General features: G+C 50.9%; 2 protein-coding genes and 1 long non-coding RNA gene across 39 annotated transcripts in view; 2 read left to right on the top strand and 1 right to left on the bottom strand.

Moving 5' to 3' along the window:
* CSF2RA (colony stimulating factor 2 receptor subunit alpha) overlaps positions 1-6,736 on the top strand; it is a 56,405-nt gene extending 49,669 nt beyond the window's left edge. For 5 of the 18 annotated variants that reach the window (NM_001379163.1, NM_001379159.1, XM_047441851.1 and 2 more), the window contains one exon: positions 6,546-6,736. In NM_001379163.1, the coding sequence (NP_001366092.1) occupies positions 6,546-6,581 (36 nt within the window). In that variant the 3' untranslated portion in view covers positions 6,582-6,736. Of the gene's footprint in view, positions 1-3,982; positions 4,647-6,545 lie in introns of those variants that run through there. The other 13 variants (XM_047441846.1, XM_047441847.1, XM_047441845.1 and 10 more) reach the window with 5 other exon arrangements.
* Positions 6,737-18,302: 11,566 nt separating this feature from the next.
* The window catches only part of IL3RA (interleukin 3 receptor subunit alpha), a 45,905-nt gene continuing 39,764 nt past the window's right edge, over positions 18,303-24,443 (top strand). For 3 of the 7 annotated variants that reach the window (NM_002183.4, XM_005274432.2, NM_001267713.2), the window contains exons 1-2: positions 18,303-18,444; positions 23,246-23,347. In NM_002183.4, coding sequence (NP_002174.1) covers positions 23,284-23,347 — 64 coding nt within the window. In that variant the 5' untranslated portion in view covers positions 18,303-18,444; positions 23,246-23,283. Of the gene's footprint in view, positions 18,445-23,099; positions 23,348-24,443 lie in introns of those variants that run through there. The other 4 variants (XM_005274431.6, XM_017029491.3, XM_047442090.1 and 1 more) reach the window with 2 other exon arrangements.
* Positions 18,792-24,443, bottom strand: part of LOC101928032 (uncharacterized) — a 41,203-nt gene continuing 35,551 nt past the window's right edge. For 13 of the 14 annotated variants that reach the window (XR_001755759.2, XR_007068375.1, XR_001755748.2 and 10 more), the window contains 2 exons: positions 23,116-23,331; positions 19,214-20,307 (listed from right to left, as the gene is read on the bottom strand). This is a non-coding gene — a long non-coding RNA (uncharacterized LOC101928032). Of the gene's footprint in view, positions 19,035-19,213; positions 20,308-23,115; positions 23,332-24,443 lie in introns of those variants that run through there. The other variant, XR_007068376.1, reaches the window with a different exon arrangement.

Here is a 24,443-nt window from a genome sequence, read left to right on the forward strand (position 1 = left end):
ACTGGCCAAAGGGTGGTTGCACCTTCTCCTCTTACCCCCAGGCCGTTGGACTTTGCCCCACTCCCCCTGAGCCGCCGATAGCCCCTCCTGAGAGAAAGGATAGAAAAGACTTTGGAGAGGTTTGCAGATGTCTGGGAAGACAATTGCAAAGCTGACCGGGCGCGGTGGCTCACGCCTGTAATCCCAACACTTTGGGAGGCCGAGGCAGGCAGATCACAAGGTCAGGAGATCGAGACCCTCCTGGCTAACACGGTGAAACCCCATCTCTACTAAAAGTACAAAAAATGAGCCTGGCATGGTGGCGGGCACCTGTAATCCCAGCTACTCGGGAGGCTGAGGCAGGAGAATGGTGTGAACCCGGGAGGCGGAGCTTGCAGTGAGCCGAGATCGTGCCACTGCACTCCAGCCTGGGTTACAGAGCAAGACTCCATCTCAAAAAAAAAAAAGAAAGAAAATTGCAAAGCTTCCTTTCGCCCCCTGGTGATGATGATCCTTTATTTATTTTATTTTATTTTATTTTATTTATTTTTTGAGACTGAGTCTTGGTCTGTCACCCAGGCTGGAGTACAGTGGCATGATCTCGGCTCACTACAACCTCCGCCTCCCGGGTTCAAGCGATTCTCCTGCCTCAGCCTCCCTAGTAGCTGGGATTACAGGTGCCCGCCACCACGCCTGGCTAATTTTTGTATTTTTAGTAAAGACAGGGTTTCACCATGTTGGCCAGGCTGGTGTTGAACTCCTGGCCTCAGGTGATCCACCCGGCTCGGCCTCCCAAAGTGCTGGGATTGTAGACATGAGCCACCATGCCCGGCCTCCTTTTTAAATTTTTGAGACAGCATCTTGCTCCTTTGCCCAGGCTGGAGTGCACGATCATGGCTCACTGTAGCCTCAGACTCCCCGGCTTAGCGATCCTCCTCTCTCAGTCTCCTGAAGTAGCTGGGACCACAGCTGAACGTCACCACACCCGGCTAATTTTTGTATTTTTAGTACAGACGGGGTCTCACTATGTTGCCCAGGCTGGTCTCCAACTTCTGGCCTCAAGCGATCCACCCTCCTCGGCCTCCCAAAGTGATGGGTCTACAGGCATGAGCCACCATGCCTAGCCCAAGTTTTTTGTAGAGATGGAATCTCACTATGTTACCCAGACTGGTCTTGACTGCTAGGCTCCAGTGATCCTCCTGCCTCAGCCTCCCAAAGTTCTGGAATTACAGCCATTCTTCACGCCTTTGCTGTTTTTTTTTTTTTTTTTTTAGACAGAGTCTCACTCTGTCGCCCAGGCTGGAGTGCAGGGGCAAAATCTTGGCTCATTGCAACCTCTGCCTCCCAGGTTCAAGCGATTCTCCTACCTCACCCTCCCGAGTAGCTGGGATTACAGGCACGTGCCACCACGCCTGGCTAATTTGTTTGTTTGTTTGTTTGTTTGTTTGTTTTGAGATGGAGTCTCGCTCTGTCCCCCAGGCCAGAGTGCAGTGGCACGATCTCGGCTCACTGCAAGCTCTGCCTCCTGGGTTCACGCCATTCTCTTGCCTCAGCCTTCCGAGTAGCTGGGACTACAGGTGCCCGCCACCACGCCTGGCTAATTTTTTGCATTTTTAGTACAGACGGGATTTCACCATGTTAGCCAGGATGGTCTCGATCTCCTGACCTCGTCATCCACCTGCCTCGGCCTCCCAAAGTGCTGGGATTACAGGCATGAGCCACTGCGCCCGGCCTGTTTGTATTTTTATTAGAGATGGAGTTTCAGCATGTTGGTCAGGCTGGTCTCGAACTCCTGACCTCAGGTGATCCACCCGCCTCGGCCTCCCAAAATGCTGGAATGACAGGCGTGAGCCATTGCACCCGGCTAATGCTGTCTTCTTTGTGGTCACAAAACTTCCCCAGAGAGAGAATTTACAACACTCATCATTTTTCAGAGGTTTTTGCTTTTAGTCAGAAAAGGGAAGCTCCAAGAAGTTTCTTTCTAGATCTGTTGATTCTCAAATGCCTCAGTTCAGAAGAATTTATATGCCAATGTGGCTTTTTTTTTTTTTTCCGAGACGGAGTGTTACTCTGTCACCCAGGCCGGAGTGCCATGGCGTGGTCTTGGCTCACTGCAACCTCTGCCTCCAGGGTTCAAGCGATTCCCCTGCCTCAGCCTCCTGAGTAGCTGGGACTACAGGCGCCCACCATCATGCCCAGCTAATTTTTTTTTTTTTTTTTTTTTGTATTTTAGTAGAGACGGGGTTTCGCCATGTTGGCCAGGATGGTCTCGATCCCCTGACCTTGTGATCCGCCCGCCTCAGCCTCCCAAAGTGCTGGGATTACAGGCATGAGCCACTGCACCCAGCCTGTTTTGTCAACCTTATGATCTCTGTTTTTTTTTGTTTGTTTGTTTTGAGACAGAGTCTCACTCTGTCACCCAAGTTCGAGTACAGTGGCGCGATCTCAGCTCACTGCAACCTCCACCTCCCAGGTTCAAGTGACTCTCGTGCCTCAGCCTCCCAAGGAGCTGGGATTACAGGCAGACGCCACCACGTCTAGCTAATTTTTGTAATTTTTCTTAGCAGACATGGGGTTTCACCATGTCAGTCAGGCTGGTCTTGAACTCCTGACCACAGGTGACCCACCCTCCTCGGCCTCCCAAAGTGCTGAGATTATAGGCTCAGCCCCAACTTGGCATATTTTGGATTGACCCATTCTAGTCCCTTTTAAGAAGTGCAGACAGAGGCCGGGCACGGTGGCTCACGCCTGTCATCCCAACACTTTGGGAGGCCGAGGCGGGTGGATCACGAGGTCAGGAGATCGAGACCATCCTGGCTAACACAATGAAACCCTTTCTCCACTAAAAATACAAAAAATTAGCCGGGCGACGTGGCAAGCTCCTGTAGTCCCAGCTACTCGGGAGGCTGAGGCAGGTGAATGGCGTGAACCCGGGAGGCGGAGCTTGCAGTGAGCCGAGATCGTGCCACTGCACTCCAGCCTGGGTGACAGAGTGAGACTCCATCTCAAAAATAAATAAATAAATAAAATAAAAACCCAGGAGGCAGAGGTTGCGGTTGGCTGAGGTCGTGCCACTGCACTCCAGCCTGGGGGACAGAGCGAGACTCCATCTCAAAAAAAAAAAAAAAGAAACGCAGACAGCATTTCAGTACACGCTTGGGGGTTAACTTAAACAGTGACCATCACCAAGCGAAATCTTAAAATGCGAGCAACGTGGAGCTAAACGGACTGCAAAAAGAAGACCATTGTGTATTGTAGGCACTGTCACAAAAAGGCAGAACCCCGCTTCTTCAGCGTAGCTGAGAACGTCCACATCAGGCAACTCAGATTTTTTTGCCACACTGCTTATGATGCCTCTGAATGGCCACAAACTTGCCCCAAGTATCAGCCGGGTGCGGTGGCTCATGCCTGTAAATTGCATCACTTTGGGAGGCCGAGGTGTGGGTGGATCGCATCATGAGGTCGGGAGTTCGAGACCAGCCTGACCAACGTGGTGAAACCCCTTTTCCACTAAAAATACAAAATTACCCCGGCATGGTGGCTCATGCCTGTAATCCCAGAACTTTTGGAGGCTGAGGCAGGAGCATTGCTTGATCCCAGGATTTCAGGACCAGCCTGGGCAATATAATAACATCCTATTATTTATTTATTTATTTATTTTTGAGACAGTGTCTCACTCTGTTACCCAGGCTGGAGTGCAATGGCGCAATCTCTGGTCAACGCAACCTCCACCTCCCAGGTTCAAGTGATTCTCCTGTCTCAGCCTCCCGAGTAGCTGGGACGACAGGTGCCCGCCACGTCACCCGGCTATTTTTTTTTTTTTTGTATTTTTAGTAGAGACGGACTTTCACCGTGTTAGCCAGGATGCTCTCGATCTCCTGACCTCGTGATCCGTCCACCTCAGCCTCCCAAAGTGCTGGGATTACAGGCATCAGTCAGCACACCTGGCCCACTTACCATCTTAACTGTGTGTGTTTGTTTTTTTTTTTTTTTTTTTTGAAAGGTAGCTCTCCAGAGAAAGACCCTGTAAGTATCTTTTTCTTTCTCAATGACATCCTGTGATTGGGCCATGAGTCACCTCCAAGTTCAGTGCTCATTTCATGGAACTGTTTAGCTGTGGGGCCCCACTGAACCCTTTGTGGTCACGCGGCAGCTCTCGGAGGAGCCACGGTTCTCCTGAACGCCCCTGGCTCAGCTACTCAACAATCACACAATGGACAGAGCGACGTCCTTCCTCCAAAGCTGCCCACTGAGAGATTTTCAGGTCAAAAATTGTAGTGCGTTGAACAGTGACCCTTAACATTTATGTCCACGTTAACCTCAGAATGGGACATTATTTCAAAATAAGGTCTTTGCAGATGTGATGAAGGAAAGAATCTGAAGATTGGCCGGGCGCGGTGGCTCACGCCTGTAATCCCAGCACTTTGGGAGGCCAAGACAGGCAGATCACGAGGTCAGGAGATCGAGACCATCCTGGCTGACACGGTGAAACCTCATCTCTACTAAAAATACAAAAAATTAGCCGGGCGTGGTGGCGGGCGCCTGTGGTCCCAGCTACTCGGGAGGCTGAGGCAGGAGAATGGCGTGAACCCGGGAGGTGGAGGTTGCAGTGAGCCGAGATCGCGCCACCGCACTCCAGCCTGAGCGACAGAGCGAGATTCCGTCTCAAAAAAAATACAATACAATACATTACAATTATAAAATAAAATAAAATAAAATAAAATATAAAATGGTCTTTGCAGATGTAATGAAGTAAAGAATCTGAAGATGAACCGGGAGCGGTGGCTCACGCCTGTAATTTCAGCACTTTGGGAGGCCGAGGCGGGCGGATCACCTGAGGTCGGGAGTTCAAGACCGGCCTGGCCAACATGGTGAAACCCCGTCTCAGGGTGAGCCACCGCACCTGGCCCCAGTTCCTGTTATTAAACGTCCATAGTTACTAGTCGGGACTGGCAGGGATGGCTGCAGAGAGGAGCATGTCGTCAGTCACTAGAGGGCAGCAATGTCCCCCACCTTCAGGCGACCGGATTCTCACATCTGGGTGGTGGCCACAAGGACCTCCCAGCAGCTCTCAGGTGGTGCTAGTGATGCTTCCATGGACCGCACCTCGAGAAGTGGGAAGAGCTTTAGAAGCTGTCTGGGCTGGGTGTGGTGGCTCACACCTACAATCCCAGCACTTTGGGAGGCTGAGGCAGCAAGATCTCTTGAATCCAGCAGTTTGAGGCTAGCCTGGGCAACATAGTGAGACCCCCATCTCTTAAAAAAAATGCAGGCTGGGCGCAGTGGCTCACGCCTGTAATCCCAGCACTTTGGGAGGCAGAGGCGGGCAGATCATGAGGTCAGGAGATCGAAACCATCCTGGCTAACACGGTGAAACCCCGTCTCTAATAAAAATACAAAAAATTAGCCGGGCGTGGTGGTGGGCGCCTGTAGTCCCAGCTACTCGGGAGGCTGAGGCAGGAGAATGGCGTGAACCCGGGAGGCCGAGGTTGTGGTGAGCCAAGATCACCCCACTGCATTCCAGCCTGGACAATGGTGTGAGACTCCGTCTCAAAAAAAAAAAAATGCAAAAATTTAGCTGGACATGGTAGCATGTTCCTGTTGCCCTAGCTACTGGGGAGGCTGAGGTGGGAGGATCACTTGAGTCTGTGAGGTGGAGGTTGCAGTAAGCTAAGATCACGCCGCTGCACTCCAGCCTGGGTGACAGAGTGTAACTCTGCCTTTAAAAACAAAAACAAAAACAAAACAGAGGCCAGGAGGGGTGATTCACGCCTGTAATCCCAGCACTTTGGGAGGTAGAGGCTGGAGGATCACTTGAGGTCAGGAGTTAGAGGCCAGCCTGGGCCACATAGCAAGATCCTGTCTCTAAGAAAAAGGAAGGAAGGAAGGAAGGAAAAAGAGAAAGGAAAGAAAGAGAAAGAAAGAAGGAAGGAAGGAAAAAGGAAAAGAAAGGAAAGAAAAAGAAAGAAGAGAGAGAGAAAAAAGAAAGAAAAAGAAAGAGAAAGGGCAAGCAAGCAAGCAGGGAGGGAGGGAGGGGAGGGAAGGAGGAGGGAAAGAAGGAAGGGAGGGAGGGAGGGAGGAAGGGAAAGAAAGGAAAGAAAAGAAGGAAGGAAGGAAAGAAAGAAAGAGAAAGAGAGAAAGAAAAGCAAGAAAGGAAAGAAAGAAAAAAGAAAAAGGACATAAGTGCTTTGGCCCCACTGTGGATGGAGAGGTTGCTTTTGCCCAGCAGGGCCGCTTGGGCATGACCAAGAAGCACTCTCGTTGCCACCTAACAAAGGCCTGTCTGAGTCGGGACCACGCAAGATGTGGACGCACGCAGGGAAAGCTGTCAGCAGCTTACACCCATGAAGCCCTTTGCTGTCCTCACCCGGAGGTGCAGACTCTGAGGACCCCTGAGGGAAAGAAAGGCAGGAAAGTCTGACCTCCTTGTCAGAGCCCTGTGTCCAAGAACTGGGTACTCAGCGATCACAGGACGGTTGGGTTTCTCCGCCTCCTCCCTCAGGTCACAACTCAGCTGTCTGTGCCCCAAACTGGCCACCGACACCAGGTTCTCTCTTCTTTTAAAGGTTTTCCAGAGAGGTGTACCTGGTGCCCCGTCCTGAGTTGAAAACAAAACATACTTTGCGCCGTGGCTCACGCCTGTCATCCCAGCACTTTGGGAGGCCGAGACGGGCGGATCAAGAGGTCGGGAGATCGAGACCAGCCTGGCCAACGTGTTGAAACCCCCGTCTCTACTAAAATACACAAAAAAATTAGCCGGGCGTGGTGGCGGGCACCTGTAGTTCCACCTACTGGGGAGGCTGAGGCAGGAGAATTGCTTGAACCCAGGAGATGGAGGTTGCAGTGAGCCAAGATTGCACCACTGCACTCCAGCCTGCGGACTCTGTCTCCAAATAAAAAAAGGAAAGGAAAGGAAAGGAGAGGGGAGGGGAGGGAGGAAGGAGGAGAGGGGAGGGGAGGCGGGAAGGAGGGGGGGAGGAGGGGAGGGGAGAGAGGGAGGTGGGGAGGAGAGGGAAGGGGAGCGGAGGGGAAGGCGAGGCAGGGGAATCTCGCCAGGCCAGATGCCTCAAATGTGCTATGAAGGAAAAGTAAAAATGCCTGCGGTGGGTGCTGAAGACACACACCAGCCAGGAGATTCCCGCGGGAATTAGAAACACCCTGACCCCGACCTTGGGTCAAAACAATGAAGAAATAACACATGTCCTAAGAGGCCGTGGCTCCTGATCGGACAGATTTTAATTTCAAAACTTCATCCACGTCTTTGGGTTCAGGCAGGGGGAGCGATGAACAGGTGCTGACAGCCAGCATCTTTCGAAAGATTTCCTTTGTGTTGACAGACTGAGTTGACACTTGCCCAGTGAAAGAGAGATGATTTGCTCTCTCTGTGACCACCTGCCCCCCAGGAGCCGGTGACCAAGATAAGCCCCGTGTCCCCAGCCAACCAGTCAAGGTGCCACCTGCGATAGCCCCTGAGTGACTCAGGCGGTGCCCACATTACCGTCGGTGACGGTAGCTTTGGTTTTCAGAACCTCTGATCACAAAACAAGGTTTCTCTGGGACACTCTGGCTGTGGCTCTACGGATGAGCTCAGCTGTGGAGAAACTTCTGAGTGAGCAGGATGGAGTTATAGAAAAAATATCAGGCCGGGCGCGGTGGCTCACGCCTGTCACCCCAGCACTTTGGGAGGCCGAGGCGGGCGGATCACCTGAGGTCAGGAGTTCGAGAACAGCCTGGCCAACATGGCGAAACCCCGTCTCTACTAAAAAGAATAATAATAATAAAAATTAGTTGGGCATGGTGGCCTGCAATCCCAGCTACATGGGAGGCTGAGGCAGGAGAATCGCTTGAACCTGGGAGGCAGAGGTTGAGGTGAGCTGAGATCGTGCCATTGCACTCCAGCCTGGGTGACAAGAGTGAAACTCCATCTCAAAAATAATAAAATTAAATTAAATTAAATTAAATTTTTTAAAAAAAGATATCAGACCGGGCACAGTGGCTCACACCTGTCATCCCAGCACTTTGGGAGGCCGAGGCGGGCGGATCACCTGAGGTCAGGAGTTCGAGACCAGCCTGGCCAACTGGGTGAAACCCCATCTCTACTAAAAATACAAAAATTAGCCGGGTGTGTTGGCGCGCACCTGTCATCCCAGCTACTCGGGAAGCTGAGGCAGGAGAATCGCTTGAACTCGGGAGGCGGAGGTTGAGGTGAGCCGAGATCATGCCACTACACTCCAGCCTGGGCAACAAGAGTGAAACTCCATCTCAAAAAAAATAAAGTAAAATAAAATAATAATTTTAAAAAATAAAGATATCAGGCCGGTTGCAGTGGCTCACGCCTGTAATCCCAGCACTTCGTGAGGCCGAGGCGGGTGGATCCCCTGAGGTCAGGAGTTCGAGACCAGCCTGGCCAACAGGGTGACATCCCATCTCTACTAAAAATACAATAGTTAGCCGGGCGTGGTGGCGGGTGCCTGTAATCCCAGCTACTCAGGAGGCTGAGGCAGGAGAATCGCTTGAACCAGGAAGGTGGAGGTTGAGGTGAGCCTACATAGAGCCGCTGCACTCCAGCCTGGGCAACAAGAGCAAAACTCCATCTCAAAAAAACATAAATAAAAATAGATAAATAAATAAATAACAAAAATATCAGGCGAGGCACTGTGGCTCACGCCTGAAATCCCAGCACTTTGTGAGGCCGAGGTGGGCGGATCCCCAGAGATCAGGAGTTTGAGACCAGCCAGACCAACATGGTGAAACCCCGTCTCTACTAAAAATACAAAAATTAGCCGGGCGTGGTGGTGTGCACCTGTCATCCCAGCTACTCAGGAGGCCGAGGCAGGAGAATCGTTTGAACCCGGGAGGTGGTTTTGCAGGATAGATAGATTCAAGAGATCTATGGTACAATGCATGGCTGGGCGCAGTGGCTCATGCCTGTAATCCCACCACTTAGGGAGGCAGAGGTAGGCGGATCACAAGTTCAGGAGTTCGAGACCAGCCTGACCAACATGGTGAAACCCCGTCTCTACTAAAAATACAAAAATTAGCTGGGCGTGGTGGTGTGCACCTGTCATCCCAGCTACTCAGGAGGCTGAGGCGGGAGAATCGCTTGAACCCGGGAGGCAGAGCTTGCAGTGAGCCAAGATCACGCCACTGCCCTCCAGCCTGGGTGACAGAGTGAGGCTCCATCTCAAAAAATAGATAAATAAATAAATATGAGCACAGTTGGAGCCCCTCATCCCCACGACCCCTTTTAACAGTAACCCAGGGGATGGTATCTCACGTTCAGACAGAAGTGGGTCGGTCTTGCAACTGCCGGAGACCGTGGCCCCTGCCCTGGGGGGCTCTGAGCAGTAGCAGAACCAGCCACATTGCAGAAGCCGGGAACCAGGAGTCAGCCTCACGGTGGGTGGAGGGTGGGGGGCTGGAGGATCCCTCATTTCCCCGGGACAGACCTGCACGTCCACCCTCTTAGAAGCCAGGGCAAGAGCAAAGAGTGGGCACGTGGTCTGAGAGACCCACTGGTCACGGAAGGTCTCAGCAACACCATCCCCAGGAGGGTCCTTGCAGGCACCTGTGGGGCTAGTTCCTGGCTCCAGGCAGCCTTTACCGTCCAACCCAGGCAGGAGTGGTTTCCGTGACCCCAGTATTGCCCGTGGAATTCCCCTGAGACGAGGGGCTTTCCTGGCGAACTTTCCCAGCGAAAACACATCCGGTCACAGGCTTTGCAGCCCCCTCACTCCTGGGATCCCTGGGGAAGGGGGGCTGAGTTTCTGAGATTTCTTTTTTTTTTTTTTTTTTTTTTGAGATGGAGTCTCACTGTGTCACCCAGAGTGGGGCTGAGTCTTTGAGATTTGTTTTTTTTTTTTTTTTTTTTTTTGAGATGGAGTCTCACTCTGTCACCCAGAGTGGGGCTGAGTCTCTGAGATTTCTATTTTTTTTTTTTTCTTTTTGAGATGGAGTCTCGCTGTGTCACCCAGAGTGGGGCTGTCTTTGACATTTGTTTGTTTTTTGTTTTTTTTTTGAGATGGAGTCTCACTCTGTCACCCAGAGTGGGGCTGAGTCTCTGAGATTTCTATTTTTTATTTTTTTTTTTTGAGATGGAGTGTCGCTCTGTCACCCAGAGTGGGGCTGAGTCTCTGAGATTTCTATTTTTTTTTTTTTTGAGATGGAGTCTCGCTCTGTCACCCAGAGTAGGGCTGAGTCTCTGAGATTTCCAATTTTTTTTTTGAGATGGAGTCTTGCTCTGTCACCCAGAGTGGGGCTGAGTCTCTGAGATTTCTTTTTTTTTTGAGATGGAGTCTCACTCTGTCACCCGGAGTGGGGCTGAGTCTCTGAGATTTCTTTTTCTTTTTTTTTTTTTTTTGAAACAGAGTCTCACTCTGTCTCCCAGGCTGGAGTGCAGTGGCGCGATCTCGGATCACTGCAACCTCCGCCTCCCGGGTTCAAGCGATTCTCCTGTCTCAGCTTCCTGAGTAGCTGGGATCAGAGGCGCGCCCCACCATGCCTGGCTCATTTTTTGTATTTTAGTAGAGACAGGGTTTCGCCATGTTGCCCAGGCTGGTCTTGAACTCCTGAGCTCAGTCAATCCACCCGCCTCAGCCTCCCAAAGTGCTGGGATTACAGGCCTGAGCCTCCGTGCCCGACTGACTACTCCTGGTTTAATTCATCCCAGGCAAATGCAGGCTGGATATGCTGGGACCCCTCTTTCATGGCAAAGAGGTCTTTGTAGATGTTGTTAAGTAAAGGATCTTGAGATGAGATCGTTCTGGAGGGGGGTGGCCCTAAATGCAATGACAGGTGTGTTTCTAAGAGACAGAAAAGGAGACACAGACAGAGAGGAGGAGGCCACGTGGAGACGGAGGCAGAGACTGGAGTCATGCGGCCACAAGCCCAGGGATGCCTGGAGCCCCCAGGAGGCGGGAGAGGCAGGAAGGACCCTCCCCTAGAGCCCCCAGAGGGAGCTCAACCCTGAGACACCTTTTTTGTTTTCTTGTTTTTTGCTTTTTTTTGAGACGGAGTCTTGCTCTGTCACACAGGCTGGAGTGCAGTGGCGCCATCTCAGCTCACTGCAACCTCCGCCTCCCGGGTTCAAGCCATTCTCCTGCCTCAGCCTCCCCAGTAGCTGGGATTACAGGCACCCGCCACCACGCCTGGACAATTTTTGTATTTTTTAACAGACACGGGGTTTCACCATATTGGCCAGTCTGGTCTCGAACTCCTGATCTCATGATCCGTCCGCCTCAGCCTCCCAAAGTGCTGGGATTACAGGAGTGAGCCATCACGCCTGGCCCGACCCTGAGACATCTTGATCTCAGACTCCTGACCTCCAGGACTGGGGGATAGGATGTTGTGATCAAGGTGCGGCTTCTGGCATGGAGATTGGCAAGGCCCGAGATTGCTCCAGCAGGCACACAGGAGGGCTGCGTCACCAGAGGGAGACCTGAGGTCTCCAGCCATCACCCAGGCTGCGGAAGAGCAGCGGACGGAAACCCAGAGGAAGGTTAACCAAAGCCAGGTCCCATCCCACTTACCTGGCCACTGTGCACCCCTCAACATCCTCACAAGGGATGCCTCAGCCTCCCGCCTAGCTGGGATGACAGGCACCTGCCATCATGTCCAGCTCATTTTTTTCTTTTTCTTTTTGAGACGGAGTCTTGCTGTGTTGCCCAGGCTGGAGTGCAGTGGCACCATCTCAGCTCACTGCTACCTCCGCCTCCCGGGGTTCAAGTGATTCCCCTGCCTCAGCCTCCCCAGTAGCTGGGAGGCAGAGGTAGCAGTGAGCCGAGATCTCGCCACTGCACTCCAGCCTGGGCGACAGAGCAAGACTCCGTCTCCAAAAAAAGAGAAAAATTTAGCTGGACATGATGGCAGGTGCCTGTCATCCCAGCTACTTGGGAAGCTGAGGCAGGAGAATGGCGTGAACCCAGGAGGAAGAGCTTGCAGTGAGGCGACATCGCACCACCACCCTCCAGCCTGGGCAACAGAGCAAGACTCCATATCAAAAAAAAAAAAAAAAATATGAGCTGAACATGATGGCAGGTGCCTGTCATCCCAGCTACTGCGGAAGCTGAGGCAGGAGAATCGCTTGAACCCGGGAGGTGGAGCTTGCAGCGAGCCTAGATTATGCCACTGCTCTCCAGCCTGGACGACAGAGCGAGACTCCGTCTCAAAGAACAAAGAAAAAGTCGGCTGTGCTCCTGGCATGGGTGGCACACATACGAGGGTCTGCACACACAGGTGCACGCCTTGCTGCGTTAAGGAGGTTCTATTTCGGGTGTCTCCCATCTGTGTTATCTCCCAGACTCACCCACCATCCCTTCTCATTTCCTTGTTTCTGTTCCTCCTGCCCAAGTCCTGCCAAGGCCGCCACCCCTCCCGCAAGCTTCTGAAGCTATTCCCAATTGCCTCCCTCCTCTGCCACCAGCCCAAGGAGTTTTTCAGAATGACCCCTGCTGGGTGCGTGGCTCACGCCTGTCATCCCAGCCCTTTGGGAGGCAGAGGCAGATGGATCACCTGAGGTCAGGAGTTCAAGACCAGCCTGACCAAGAAGCTGAAACCCCTTCTCTACTAAAAATACAAAAATTAGCCGGGCATGGTGGCGGGCGCCTGTAGTCCCAGCTACTCGGGAGGCTGAGGCAGGAGAATCGCTTGAAGCTGGGAGGCGGAGGTTGTGGTGAGCTGAGATCTTGCCACTGCACTCCAGCCTGGGTGACAGAGGAAGACTCCATCTCAAAAAAAAAAATTAGTTGGATATGATGGCAGCTGCCTGTAATCCCATACTCGGGAGGCTGAGGCAGGAGAATCACTTGAACCCTGGGAGGCAGAGGTTGCAGTGAGCCGAGATCGCGCCACTGCACTCCAGCCTGGGCGAGAGAGCAAGACTCTGTCTCAAAAATAAATAAATAAATAAGTAAATAAGTAAGTAAATAAATAAAATGGCCCCCACCAGGCATGGTGGCTCACGCCTGTCATCCCAGCACTTTGGGAGGCCGGCAGATTGCCTGAGGTCAGGAGTTCGAGACCAGCCTGACCAAGAAGCTGAAACCCTGTCTCTACTAAAAATACAAAAATTAGCCCGGCGTGGTGGCAGGTGCCTGTAGTCCCAGCTACTCCGGAAGCTGAGGCAGGAAAATCACTTGAATCTGGGAGGCGGAGTTTGCAGTGAGCCGAGATCTTGCCACTGCACTCCAGGCTGGGCGACAGAGCGAGACTCCGTCTCAAAAAAAAAAAAAAAAAAAATTAGCTGGACATGATGGCAAGGTGCCTGTAATCCCAGCTACTTGGGAGGCCGAGGCAAGAGAATCGCTTGAACCCTGGGAGGCAGAGGTTGCAGTGAGCCGAGATCGCGCCACTGCACTCCAGCCTGGGCGAGAGAGCAAGAATCTGTCTCAAAAATAAATAAATAAATAAGTAAATAAGTAAGTAAATAAATAAATAAAATGGCCCCCACCAGGCATGGTGGCTCACGCCTGTCATCCCAGCACTTTGGGAGGCCGGCAGATTGCCTGAGGTCAGAAGTTCGAGACCAGCCTGGCCAACATGGCAAAACCCGGTCTCTACTAAAAATACAAAAATTAGCCAGGCGTGGTGGCGGGCGCCTGTAATCCCAGCTACTCGGGAGACTGAAGCAGGAGAATCTCTTGAACCTGGGAGGCAGAGGTTGCAGTGAGCAGAGATCACACCACTGCACTCCAGCCTGGGTGACAGAGAGAGACTCCATCTAAAAAAATAAAATAAAAATAAAAATAAAATAAAATGACCCCATCCCCCCAGACTCAAGGTGGAGGGGAGGTGTTGGTTTTTAAAGGGCTGTTTTCTTTGTTTTTTATTTCTATTTGTATTTTATTTTAAGTTCTGGGGTACATGTGCAGAATGTGCAGGTTTGTTACATAGGTATACATGTGCCAGTGTGGTTTGCTGCACCCATCAACTCGTCATCTACATTAGGTATTTGTCCTAATGCTCTCACTGCCCTTGTCCCCCAAGCCCCGACAGGCCCTGGTGTGTGATGTTCCCCTCCCTGTGTCCATGTGTTCTCATTGTTCAACTCCCACTTATGAGTGAGAACATGCGGTGTTTGGTTTTTCTGTTCCTGTGTGAGTTTGCTGAGAATGATGGTTTCCAGCTTCATCCATGTCCCTGCAAAGGACATGATCTTATCCATTTTGATGGCTGCATAGTATTCCATGGTGTCTATGTGCCACATTTTCTTTATCCAGTCTATCATTGATGGACATTTGGGTTGGTTCCAAGTCTTGGCTATTGTGAACAGTGCTGCAAAAACATACGTGTGCGTGTGTCTTTATAGGAGAATGACTGATCATCTAAAGGGCTATTTTCTTTCTTTCTTTTTTTTTTTTTTTTGAGACAGAGTCTTCCTCTGTCACCAGGCTGGAGTGCAGTGGCATGATCTTGGCTCACTGTAACCTCCGCCTCCTTGGTTCAAGCCAAATTCTCCTGGCCCAGCCTCCTGACTAGCTGGGACTACAGGTGCCCACAAGCACACCCAGCTAATTTTTTTTGTTTTTTGTATTTTTAGTAGAGACAGGGTTTCACCGTGTTAGCCAGGATGGTCTCGATCTTCTGACCTCGTGATACGCCCACCTCGGCCTCCCAAAGTGCTGGGATGACAGGCTTGAGCCACACATGTGATAAAATTACTTAGAACTGAATGCTTAGTAATACTGGGAACACCCAAGTAAGATTGTATCAATCTCCAGGTTGCAACATTGCAACCCTCATTTTGTAAGATGTTACCAAGGAAAAAAAACTGACCCAAGCATGCCAGGGTGTTTGTATTAATTTTTTTTTTTTTTTGAGATGGAGTCTTGTTCTGTCGCCCAGGCTGGAATGCAGTGGCACAATCTCAGCTCACTGCAACCTCCACCTCCCAGGTTCAAGAAGTTCTCCTGCCTTATTCTCCTCAGTAGCTGGTATTACAGGTGCCTGCCACCATGCCCAGCTACTTTTTGTATTTTTTTTTTTTTTGAGACGGATTCTTGCTCTGTTGCCCAGGTTGGAGTGCAGTGGCGCGACCTCGGCTCACTGCAACCTCCGCCTCCCGGGTTCAAGCGATTCTCCTGCCTCAGCCTCCCGAGTAGCTGGGATTACAGGCATGTGCCACCACAACCAGCTAATTTTTGAATTTTTAGTAGAGGCAGGGTTTCAGCATGTTGGTCAGGCTGGTCTTGAACTCCTGACATTGTGATCTGCCCGCCTCGGCCTCCCAAAGTGCTGGGATGACAGGTGTGAGGCACCGCGCCCGGCCTGCCGCCATGGTTTTCTTAATACCATTCTTTTCTGTAGCCTAGTTAATTGCAAGAATGCAGTATAGCATACACAGAGCATAACAAATATGTATGAATCAACTGTTTATGTTATCAGTAAGGCTTCTGGTTAACACTAGGCTGTTAGTTGTTACGGTTTGGGGGAGTTAAAAGTCACACTTGGATTTTTTTTTTTTTTTCAGATGGAGTCTCACTCTGTTGCCCAGGCTGGAGTGCAGTGGCGTGATTTCAGCTCACTGCAACCTCCACCTCCTGGGTTCAAGCGATTCTGCTGCCTCAGCCTCCTGAGTAGCTGGGATGACAGGCATGTACCACCGTGCCTGGGTCATTTTTGTATTTTTAGTAGAAATGGAGTTTCGCCATGTTGGTCAGGCTGGTCTTGAACCCCTGACCTCAGGTGATGCACCCACCTTGGCCTCCCACAGAGCTGGGATTACAGGCGTGAGCCACTGGGCCCCGCCCTGTATTTGGATTTTTGAGTGCACGAGGTGGCAGTGTCTGTAACCTGCACATTGCCTAAGAGTTAATTCTGTATCAAAACATCTTGTTTGTACGTTAAATATATCCAGTTAAAAAAAAATAAGGAAGCGGTTAGCCATGAGTTGACATCACATTTACAACCCCATCATTTCAAACTTCCTTTTCTGGGTGTGGTGACGGGCACCTGTCATCCCAGCTACTCGGGAGGCTGAGGCAGGAGAATCGCTTGAACCTGGGAGGCTCAGGTTGCGGAGAGCTGAGATCGCGCCACTGCACTCCAGCCTGGGTGATAGAGCAAGACTCCATCTCAGAAAAAAAAAAAAAAAAAAAAAAAAAAGATATCTTAGTGGTCAGGTGCGGTGGCTCACGCCTGTCATCCCACCACTTTGGGAGGCCAACGAGGGTGGATCACCTGAGGTCAGGAGTTCGAGACCATCTGGCCAACATGGTGAAACCCCGTCTCTAGTAAAAATTTAAAAATTAGCCGGGCGTGGTGGCAGGTGCCCGTAATCCCAGCTACTTGGGAGGCCGAGGCAGGAGAATCGCTTGAACCTGGGGCAGAGGTTGCAGGGAGCCGAGATCGCACCATTGCACTCCAGCCTGGATGACAGAGCAAGCAAAGCGAGACTCCGTCTCAAAGAAAAAAAAAAAAAAAAACAGGAGCCGGGCTGCAAGGTGGAGGCTCTGGGGAAGGGCTGAGGTTGGGGTGGAATTTGGGAAGGGTGCCGAGAACCAGAGAAGAGTTGATACATTCAGAGGGAAGGGAAGGGCTGTCTGGGAGTGCGCGTGCTGAGTAAACAGAAATAACAGATTTCAGCGTTGGAAAGAGAAGCCCGGGACAGGTTGGTGAGTGCCCCATTCAGGGCTGGACTTTACTAAGGGTTTTTGTTTGTTTGTTTTCTGTTGAGACAGAGTTTGCTCTTGTCACCAGGCTGGAGTGCAGTGGTGTGATCTCGGCTCACTGTGACCTCCGCCTGCCGGGTTTAAGTGATTCTCCTGCCTCAGCCTTGGGAGAAGCTGGGATTACAGGCACCTGCCACCACGCCTGGCTAATTTTTAAATTTTTACTAGAGACGGGGTTTCACCATGTTGTCCAGGCTGATCTTGAACTCCTGCCCTCAGGTGATCTACCCGCCTCAGCCTCCCAAAGTGCTGGGATGACAGGTGCGAGCCACCGCGCCTGACCACTAAGATTTTTTTTTTTTTTTTTGAGACGGAGTCTCGTTCTATTTCCCAGGCTGGAGTGCAGTGGCGCCATCCTGGCTCACTGTAACCTCCGCCTCCCAGGTTCAAATGATTCTCCTGCCTCAGCCTCCGGAGAAGCTGGGATTATAGGCACCCACCACCACGCCTGGCTAACTTTTTTCTTTTTACTAGAGACGGGGTTTCACCATGTTGGTCAGAATGGTCTCGAACTCCTGACCTCAGGGTGATCCACCCTCCTCGGCCTCCCAAAGTGCTGGGATGACAGGTGTGAACCACCGCACCTGACCACTAAGATATCTTTTTTTTTTTTTTTTTGAGACGGAGTCTTGCTCTATCACCCAGGCTGGAGGGCACTGGCGCCATCCTGGCTCACTGTAACCTCTCTCCCAGGTTCAAACTATTCTCCTGCCTCAGCCTCCAGAGAAGCTGGGATTACAGGCACCTGCCACCACGCCTGGCTAATTTTTAAATTTTTACTAGAGACGGGCTTCCACCATGTTGGCCAGATGGTCTCAAACTCCTGACCTCAGGTGATCCGCCCTCATCGGCCTCCCAAAGTGCTGGGATGACAGGTGTGAGCCACCACCCCTGACCACTAAGATATCTTTTTTTTTTTTTTGAGACCGAGTCTTGCTCTGTCGCCCAGGCTGGAGTGCAGTGGCGCGATCTCGGTTCACTGTAACCTCCTCCGCCTCCCAGGTTCAAGCGATTCTCCTGTCTCAGCCTCCCGAGTAGCTGGGATTACAGGTGCTCACCACCACGCTGGGCTAATTTTTGTATTTTTAATAGAGACGGGGTTTCACCATGTTGGCCAGGCTGGTCTCAATCTCTTGACCTCAAGTGATCTGCCCGCCTCGGCCTCCCAAAGTGCTGGGATGACAGGCGTGAGCCACCGCACCCGGCCACTAACATATCTTTAATAAGATCTGTCATCTGAGACCGGGGGCCACCTCCCTGTCTGGGTGCTGTTTCCCACGAGACAGGGAGGAAACACAGGCAGGAGCCCCTGGACACCAGCGTTCACGCCTCCAAGGCTGAATTTACTATGTCAGGAAGTTGCCCAACCCTGCCTGTATAGCCAGCAAGAATTCTAATTATAGCAAACAGAAACACTTGCAGAAAAAAAAAAAAATGAGAACGGGAACATGATAATTTTCAAAGAAAGAGTCTTTCTTTCAAGGAAAGTCAGGTTCATGGTTACGAAGCTGCTGACCCCAGGATCCCAGCCCGTGGGAGAGAAGGGGGTCTCTGACAGCCCCCACCCCTCCCCACTGCCAGATCCTTATTGGGTCTGAGTTTCAGGGGTGGGGCCCCAGCTGGAGGTTATAAAACAGCTCAATCGGGGAGTACAACCTTCGGTTTCTCTTCGGGGAAAGCTGCTTTCAGCGCACACGGGAAGATATCAGAAACATCCTAGGATCAGGACACCCCAGATCTTCTCAACTGGAACCACGAAGGCTGTTTCTTCCACACAGTACTTTGATCTCCATTTAAGGTAAGGTCCCCCCTCCAGGGTGGGATGAGGGAAAAAGAGGGCAGGCAGGGGAGGCGGTGGACTGTGGGTTCCCAAATCCAAGCTGGCAGACACGGGGCATTGGCATGTAACAGGTTTCTGCTGAGACCTGCTGTCCGTGTGGGCACCACACCACACATAGAATGACCCGGTACCAGAGAAGTATGTTTGCGATCTCATTCACCCTTTTGTAAGTGGATCGGACGCTGAAGCCATCATAGCATGTTAGATGCCTTGGGTTTATAAAGGTGATAGCATTAGGAGTAATTTGACAGTGCTTTCTGCTTTTTCTGTGTGCTTGCTAGAAAATGTACACACCTACACATGGCTAGAGTTCTCTGTTTATTAGAAAGCGCTGGTTCAGTTAGTCAATGAGCTCACGCCCAGGGCGAGCTGACTGCCAGCCGGGGAGCCGCTTTTGGGGCTGGGACCCCAGCCTGCTTGTAGTGTTTCTCAGTGGTTTTCAAAGGCTGGCGGGACTCAGAATGTTCCAGATGGCTGGTGAAACCTCAGGTCCCTCCTAGCAGCTTTATTCACAGTAGCCAAGAGGTGGAGACAGCCCTCGTACCCATCTATAGATGAATGGAAAAATATAATGTCCATCCACACAGTGGAATATTACGCAGCCATGAAAAGGAACAAGCAGCTTTATTCACAATAGCCAAGAGGTGGAGACAGCCCTCATACCCATCTATAGACGAATGGATAAATATAATGTGGTCCAGCCACACGGTGGAATATTACACAGCCATGAAAAGGAACAAGCAGCTTTATTCACAATAGCCAAGAGGTGGAGACAGCCCTCATACCCATCTATAGACGAATGGATAAATATAATGTGGTCCAGCCACACAGTGGAATATTACACAGCCATGAAAAGGAACAAGCAGCTTTATTCACAATAGCCAAGAGGTGGAGACAGCCCTCATACCCATCTATAGATGAATGGAGAAATATAATGTGGTCCAGCCACACAGTGGAATATTATACAGCCATGAAAAGGAACAAGCAGCTTTATTCACAATAGCCAAGAGGTGGAGACAGCCCTCGTACCCATCTATAGATGAATGGAGAAATATAATGTGGTCCAGACACACAGTGGAATATTATACAGCCATGAAAAGGAACAAGCAGCTTTATTCACAATAGCCAAGAGGTGGAGACAGCCCTCATACCCCCATCTATAGATGAAGGGAGAAATATAATGTCCATCCACACAGTGGAATATTACACAGCCATGAAAAGGAACAAGCAGCTTTATTCACAATAGCCAAGAGGTGGAGACAGCCCTCATACCCATCTATAGATGAATGGAAAAATATAATGTCCATCCACACAGTGGAATATTACACAGCCATGAAAAGGAACAAGCAGCTTTATTCACAATAGCCAAGAGGTGGAGACAGCCCTCATACCCCATCTATAGATGAATGGAGAAATATAATGTGGTCCAGCCACACGGTGGAATATTACACAGCCATGAAAAGGAATAAGCAGCTTTATTCACACTAGCCAAGAGGTGGAGAGAGTCCTCATACCCATCTATAGATGAATGGAGAAATATAATGTGGTCCAGCCACACGGTGGAATATTACACAGCCATGAAAAGGAACGAGGCTCTGCCACAGGTGGCAATGTGGGTGAATGCTGAGGACATCATGCTTCCTGAGAGAGGCCAGATACAAAAAGATACATAGTGTCTGTATGATTCCATTTATTCCCTATGTCCAGATACAGGCAAATCCACAGAGACAGAAAGTGGATGAGTGGTTGCCACAGGCTGGGGAAGAGGAAGGACGGGTCTTTAATGGGTCTGGAGTCTCCTTTTGGGGTCGTGACAATGTTCTAGAAGATAGAAGTGGTGGTTTTTTTTGAGACAGAGTCTCGCTCTGTCGCCCAGGCTGGAGTGCAGTGGCGCGATCTCAGCTCACTGCAACCTCCACCTCCCGGGTTCAAGCAATTCTCCTGCCTCAGCCTCCTGAGTAGCTGGGACTACAGGCACCCGCAACTACGCCTGGCTAATTTTTGTATGTTTAGTAGAGACTTTGTATGTTTAGTAGAGTAGTAGAGATTTTGTATGTTTAGTATGTTTTGTATGTTGGTCAGGCTGGTCTCGAACTCCTGACCTCAAGCAATCCACCCCCCTCAGCCTCCCAAAGTGCTGGGATTATAGGCGTGAGCCACCGCGCCTGGCCAATGAAAATATTAATCAATAAATGTTAAGAGCACAGATTTCCCAACGTTCTGACTCAGGCATCTTCCTGGACCACAGCCCCTACAGGCAAGTGTGACTGTGTGTGGTGAGCCCATGAGCTGAACACAGGCTCTGTCCGAAAGGAGACTCTAGAGATTGCCTGTTGCCTTGGAGGTGGGCTGCGGTCCCTCTGCCCAGGCAGGAAGGGGCTCCGAGGCCTCTGGAACCTCATTTTACCTTTTCCCTGCTGCCCTCAGTCCCGTCCCCAGCCTCAAGGGGCTCAGCTTTTTCCAGGCTCACCCCTTCCATTTATAATTTGGAGACAAGCAAGGTCCACTGACGCTAACGCCATTTGGTTCTTTAAAAGATGTTAGGCCGGGCGCGGTGGCTCACGCCTGTCATCCCAGCACTTTGGGAGGCCAAGGCGGGTGGATCATGAGGTCAGGAGTTCGAGACCAGCCTGACCAACATGGTGAAACACCATCTCTACTAAAAATAGAAAAATTAGCTGGGTGTGGTGGCGGACACCGGTAATCCCATCTACTGGGGAGGCTGAGGCAGGAGAATCGCTTGAACGTGGGAGGTGGAGGTTGCAGTGAACCAAGATCGCGCCACTGCACTCCGGCCTGGACAACAAGAGTGAGACTCCATCTCAGAAAAAACAAAACAAAACAAAACAAAAAACCAGAAAAGACAGCTGCCACCCCAGAGCACAGTGTAGGAGAGCCAGCCTTTCTGGGATGCGGCAGAAAGTTCCAGTGCAGGAGGCTGAGGTCCTGTACCCCCTTGTTACGGTAACTGCAGCCACTTAGGAATTTCCGTGTGTTGATTTCATCATTGTAATTATACTTCCTTCCACTGCTTTGTCATCTGAGCTTCCTGGTGTGCCGCAGAGGATGTGTTTTCCTGGTTTGTGGATACAGCTCGAGCCAAGAACGGGCTAAACCCCCAGGGCAGCAACTCTTTCTTTTCTTTTCTTTTTTTTTTTTTTTTTTGAGACGGAGTCTCGCTCTGTCGTCCAGGCTGGAGTGCAGTGGCGCCATCTCGGCTCACTGCAAGCTCCACCTCCCGGGTTCAACTGATTGTCCTGCCTCAGCCTCCCGAGTAGCTGGGATTATAGGCACACTCCACCACGCCTGGCTAATTTTTGTATTTTTAGTAGAGACGGGGTTTCACCATGTTAGCCAGGCTGGTCTTGAACTCCTGACCTCGGGCAATCTGCCCACCTCTGCTTCCCAAAGTGCTGGGATTACTGGCATGAGCCACTGCACCCAGCCGGCAGGGCTTCTTTCAAAAGGGAACGGCTGACACACACACAGATGCATGCACATACATGCACACATACACACTGATGCAAACACATTTGTACACATACATTCACACATGCATGCACATAAATATGCACTTCTAGGCACATGCATGCACACATACAGACTCATGCATGTATATTTGTGTATGCACATATATTTATGCACATGTGTGTACACGTGGAATGCATGCACAGATACATATGCATTCAAACACAAAGACTGTGTGTACCTGCATGCATGAAAACACACAAACACAGCCGGGCACGGTGGCTCACACCTGTAATCTCAGCACTTGGCGAGGAAAAGGCGGGCGGATCACCTGAGGCAGGAGTCCGAGACCAGCCTGGCCAACATGGTCAAATCTCTACTAAAAAATACAAAAAGTGGGCTGGACGCGGTGGCTGACGCCTGTCATCCCAGCACTTTGGGAGGCTGAGGTGGGTGGATCACCTGAGGTCAGGAGTTCGAGACCAGCCTGGCCAACACGGTGAAACCCCGTCTCTGCTAAAAATACAAAAATTAGCCGGACATGGTGGTGGGTGCCTATAATCCCAGCTACTCGGGAGGCTGAGGCAGGACAATCGGTTGAACCTGGGAGGCGGAGGTTGCAGTGAGCCCAGATCACGCCATTGCACTCCAGCCTGGGCAACAAGAGCAAAACTCTGTCACAAAAAATAAATAAATAAATAAATAATACAAAAATTAGCCAGGCATGGTGGCGAGTGCCTGTAATCCCAGCTACTCAGGAGGCTGAGGCAGGAGAGTCGCTTGAACCTGGGAGGCAGAGGTTGCAATGAGCCGAGATCATGCCACTGCACTCCAGCCTGGACGACAAGGGCGAGTCTCCATCAGGAAAAAAAAAAAAAGAAAACACACAAACACTTATGTGTGCACACAGATACACACGGGCACAAAAATGTACACACGTGCAAGCACACACACACACAGACACATGTACACAGTACCCGTGTGTGCACAGGCATGCATGCAGTCCTGCAAATGTGCAAACAGACATGGCTACATAGAGGCATGCACACATATAGACCCATGTACACACACACGAATATTCGTGCACACATGTAGAAGCACACTCTGATGTGCATGCATGTGCAAAGGCGCATTTGCACACAGACACATATGCACACTCACCACCGCTTTCCCTCCAGAAGCAGCTCCTTCTGCTGTGAGCACCAGGCTCTGGAAGGGGCAAGCATCCTTCATTACCCGCAACCCAGTTTCACAGCCAGTCCCCGCTGCCTGACTCTCGTTTCTCCTGCAGCAGGCACCTCTGTCCTGCGTTCCGGAGCTGCGTTCCCGATGGTCCTCCTTTGGCTCACGCTGCTCCTGATCGCCCTGCCCTGTCTCCTGCAAACGAAGGAAGGTAAGAACTGGAGAAAAAATGCACGTGCCACCTGGGGAGCGGTGGGGGTAGACAGACACACAATGTCAGCGTGCCGTCCTTCAGGGAAACTTTTCATGCTGAGCTCATGGCAGAGTCTCATGCAGTGGTCGGGAATGACTCAGACACTTCCCTGTACCCGTCACCAAGTTCCCTGTAATGCAGCATCTTGCAAAACGGTAATACGACCTCACAGGCAGGGACCTGATCGTGACACAGATGCCATGTGAGGTGTTTTGATGAAACTCACACGCTGGGATCAACAGCACCAATAACAATTTCCAGTTTCCTTCATTGTTTATCTTACTTTTTCATTTTCTTATTATTTTTATTTTGGAGACAGGGTCTTACTGTCTTGCCCAGGCTGGAGTGCAATAGTGTGATCTCGGCTCACTGCAACCTCTGCCTCCCGGATTCAAGCGATTCTTCTGCCTCAGCCTCCCGAGGAGCTGAGATTACAGTCGCGCACCACCATACCCGGCTAATTTCTGTATTTTTGATAGAGACGGGATTTCACTATGTCGGTCAGGCTGGTCTAGAACTGCTGACCACAAGTGATCCGTCTGCCTTGGCCTCCCAAAGTGCTGGGATTACAGGTGTGAGCCACAGCGCCCGGCCTTTTTTTTCATTGGTTTTTACAGTCTATTACTGCAGGGTTTCACTTTACCTTGAATTTCTTTTAACTTTAATTTGCTTTTCATTCTTTAACTTCTTTTTTTTTTTTTTTTTTGACACAGAGTTTCATTCTGGTCGCCCAGGCTGGAGTGTAATAGCGTGACCATGGCTCACTGCAACCTCTACCTGCTGGGTTCAATTGATTCTCCTGTCTCAGCCTCCCAAGCACCTGGGATTACAGGTGTCCGCCACCACGCCCAGCTAATTTTTCTGTTTTTACTAGAGACGGGGTTTCACCGTGTTAGACAGGATGGTCTCGATCTCCTGACCTCATGATCCGCCTGCCTCGGGGTTGGGATTACACACTTTGGGAGGCCAAGGCAGGTGGACGATCACAAGGTCAGGAGTTCGTGACCAGCCTGACTAACACGGTGAAACCCCGTCTCTACTAAAAATACAAAAA

Source organism: Homo sapiens, chromosome X, assembly GCF_000001405.40.
Source record: "Homo sapiens chromosome X, GRCh38.p14 Primary Assembly".
In the NCBI taxonomy this organism is placed as follows: domain Eukaryota; kingdom Metazoa; phylum Chordata; class Mammalia; order Primates; family Hominidae; genus Homo; species Homo sapiens.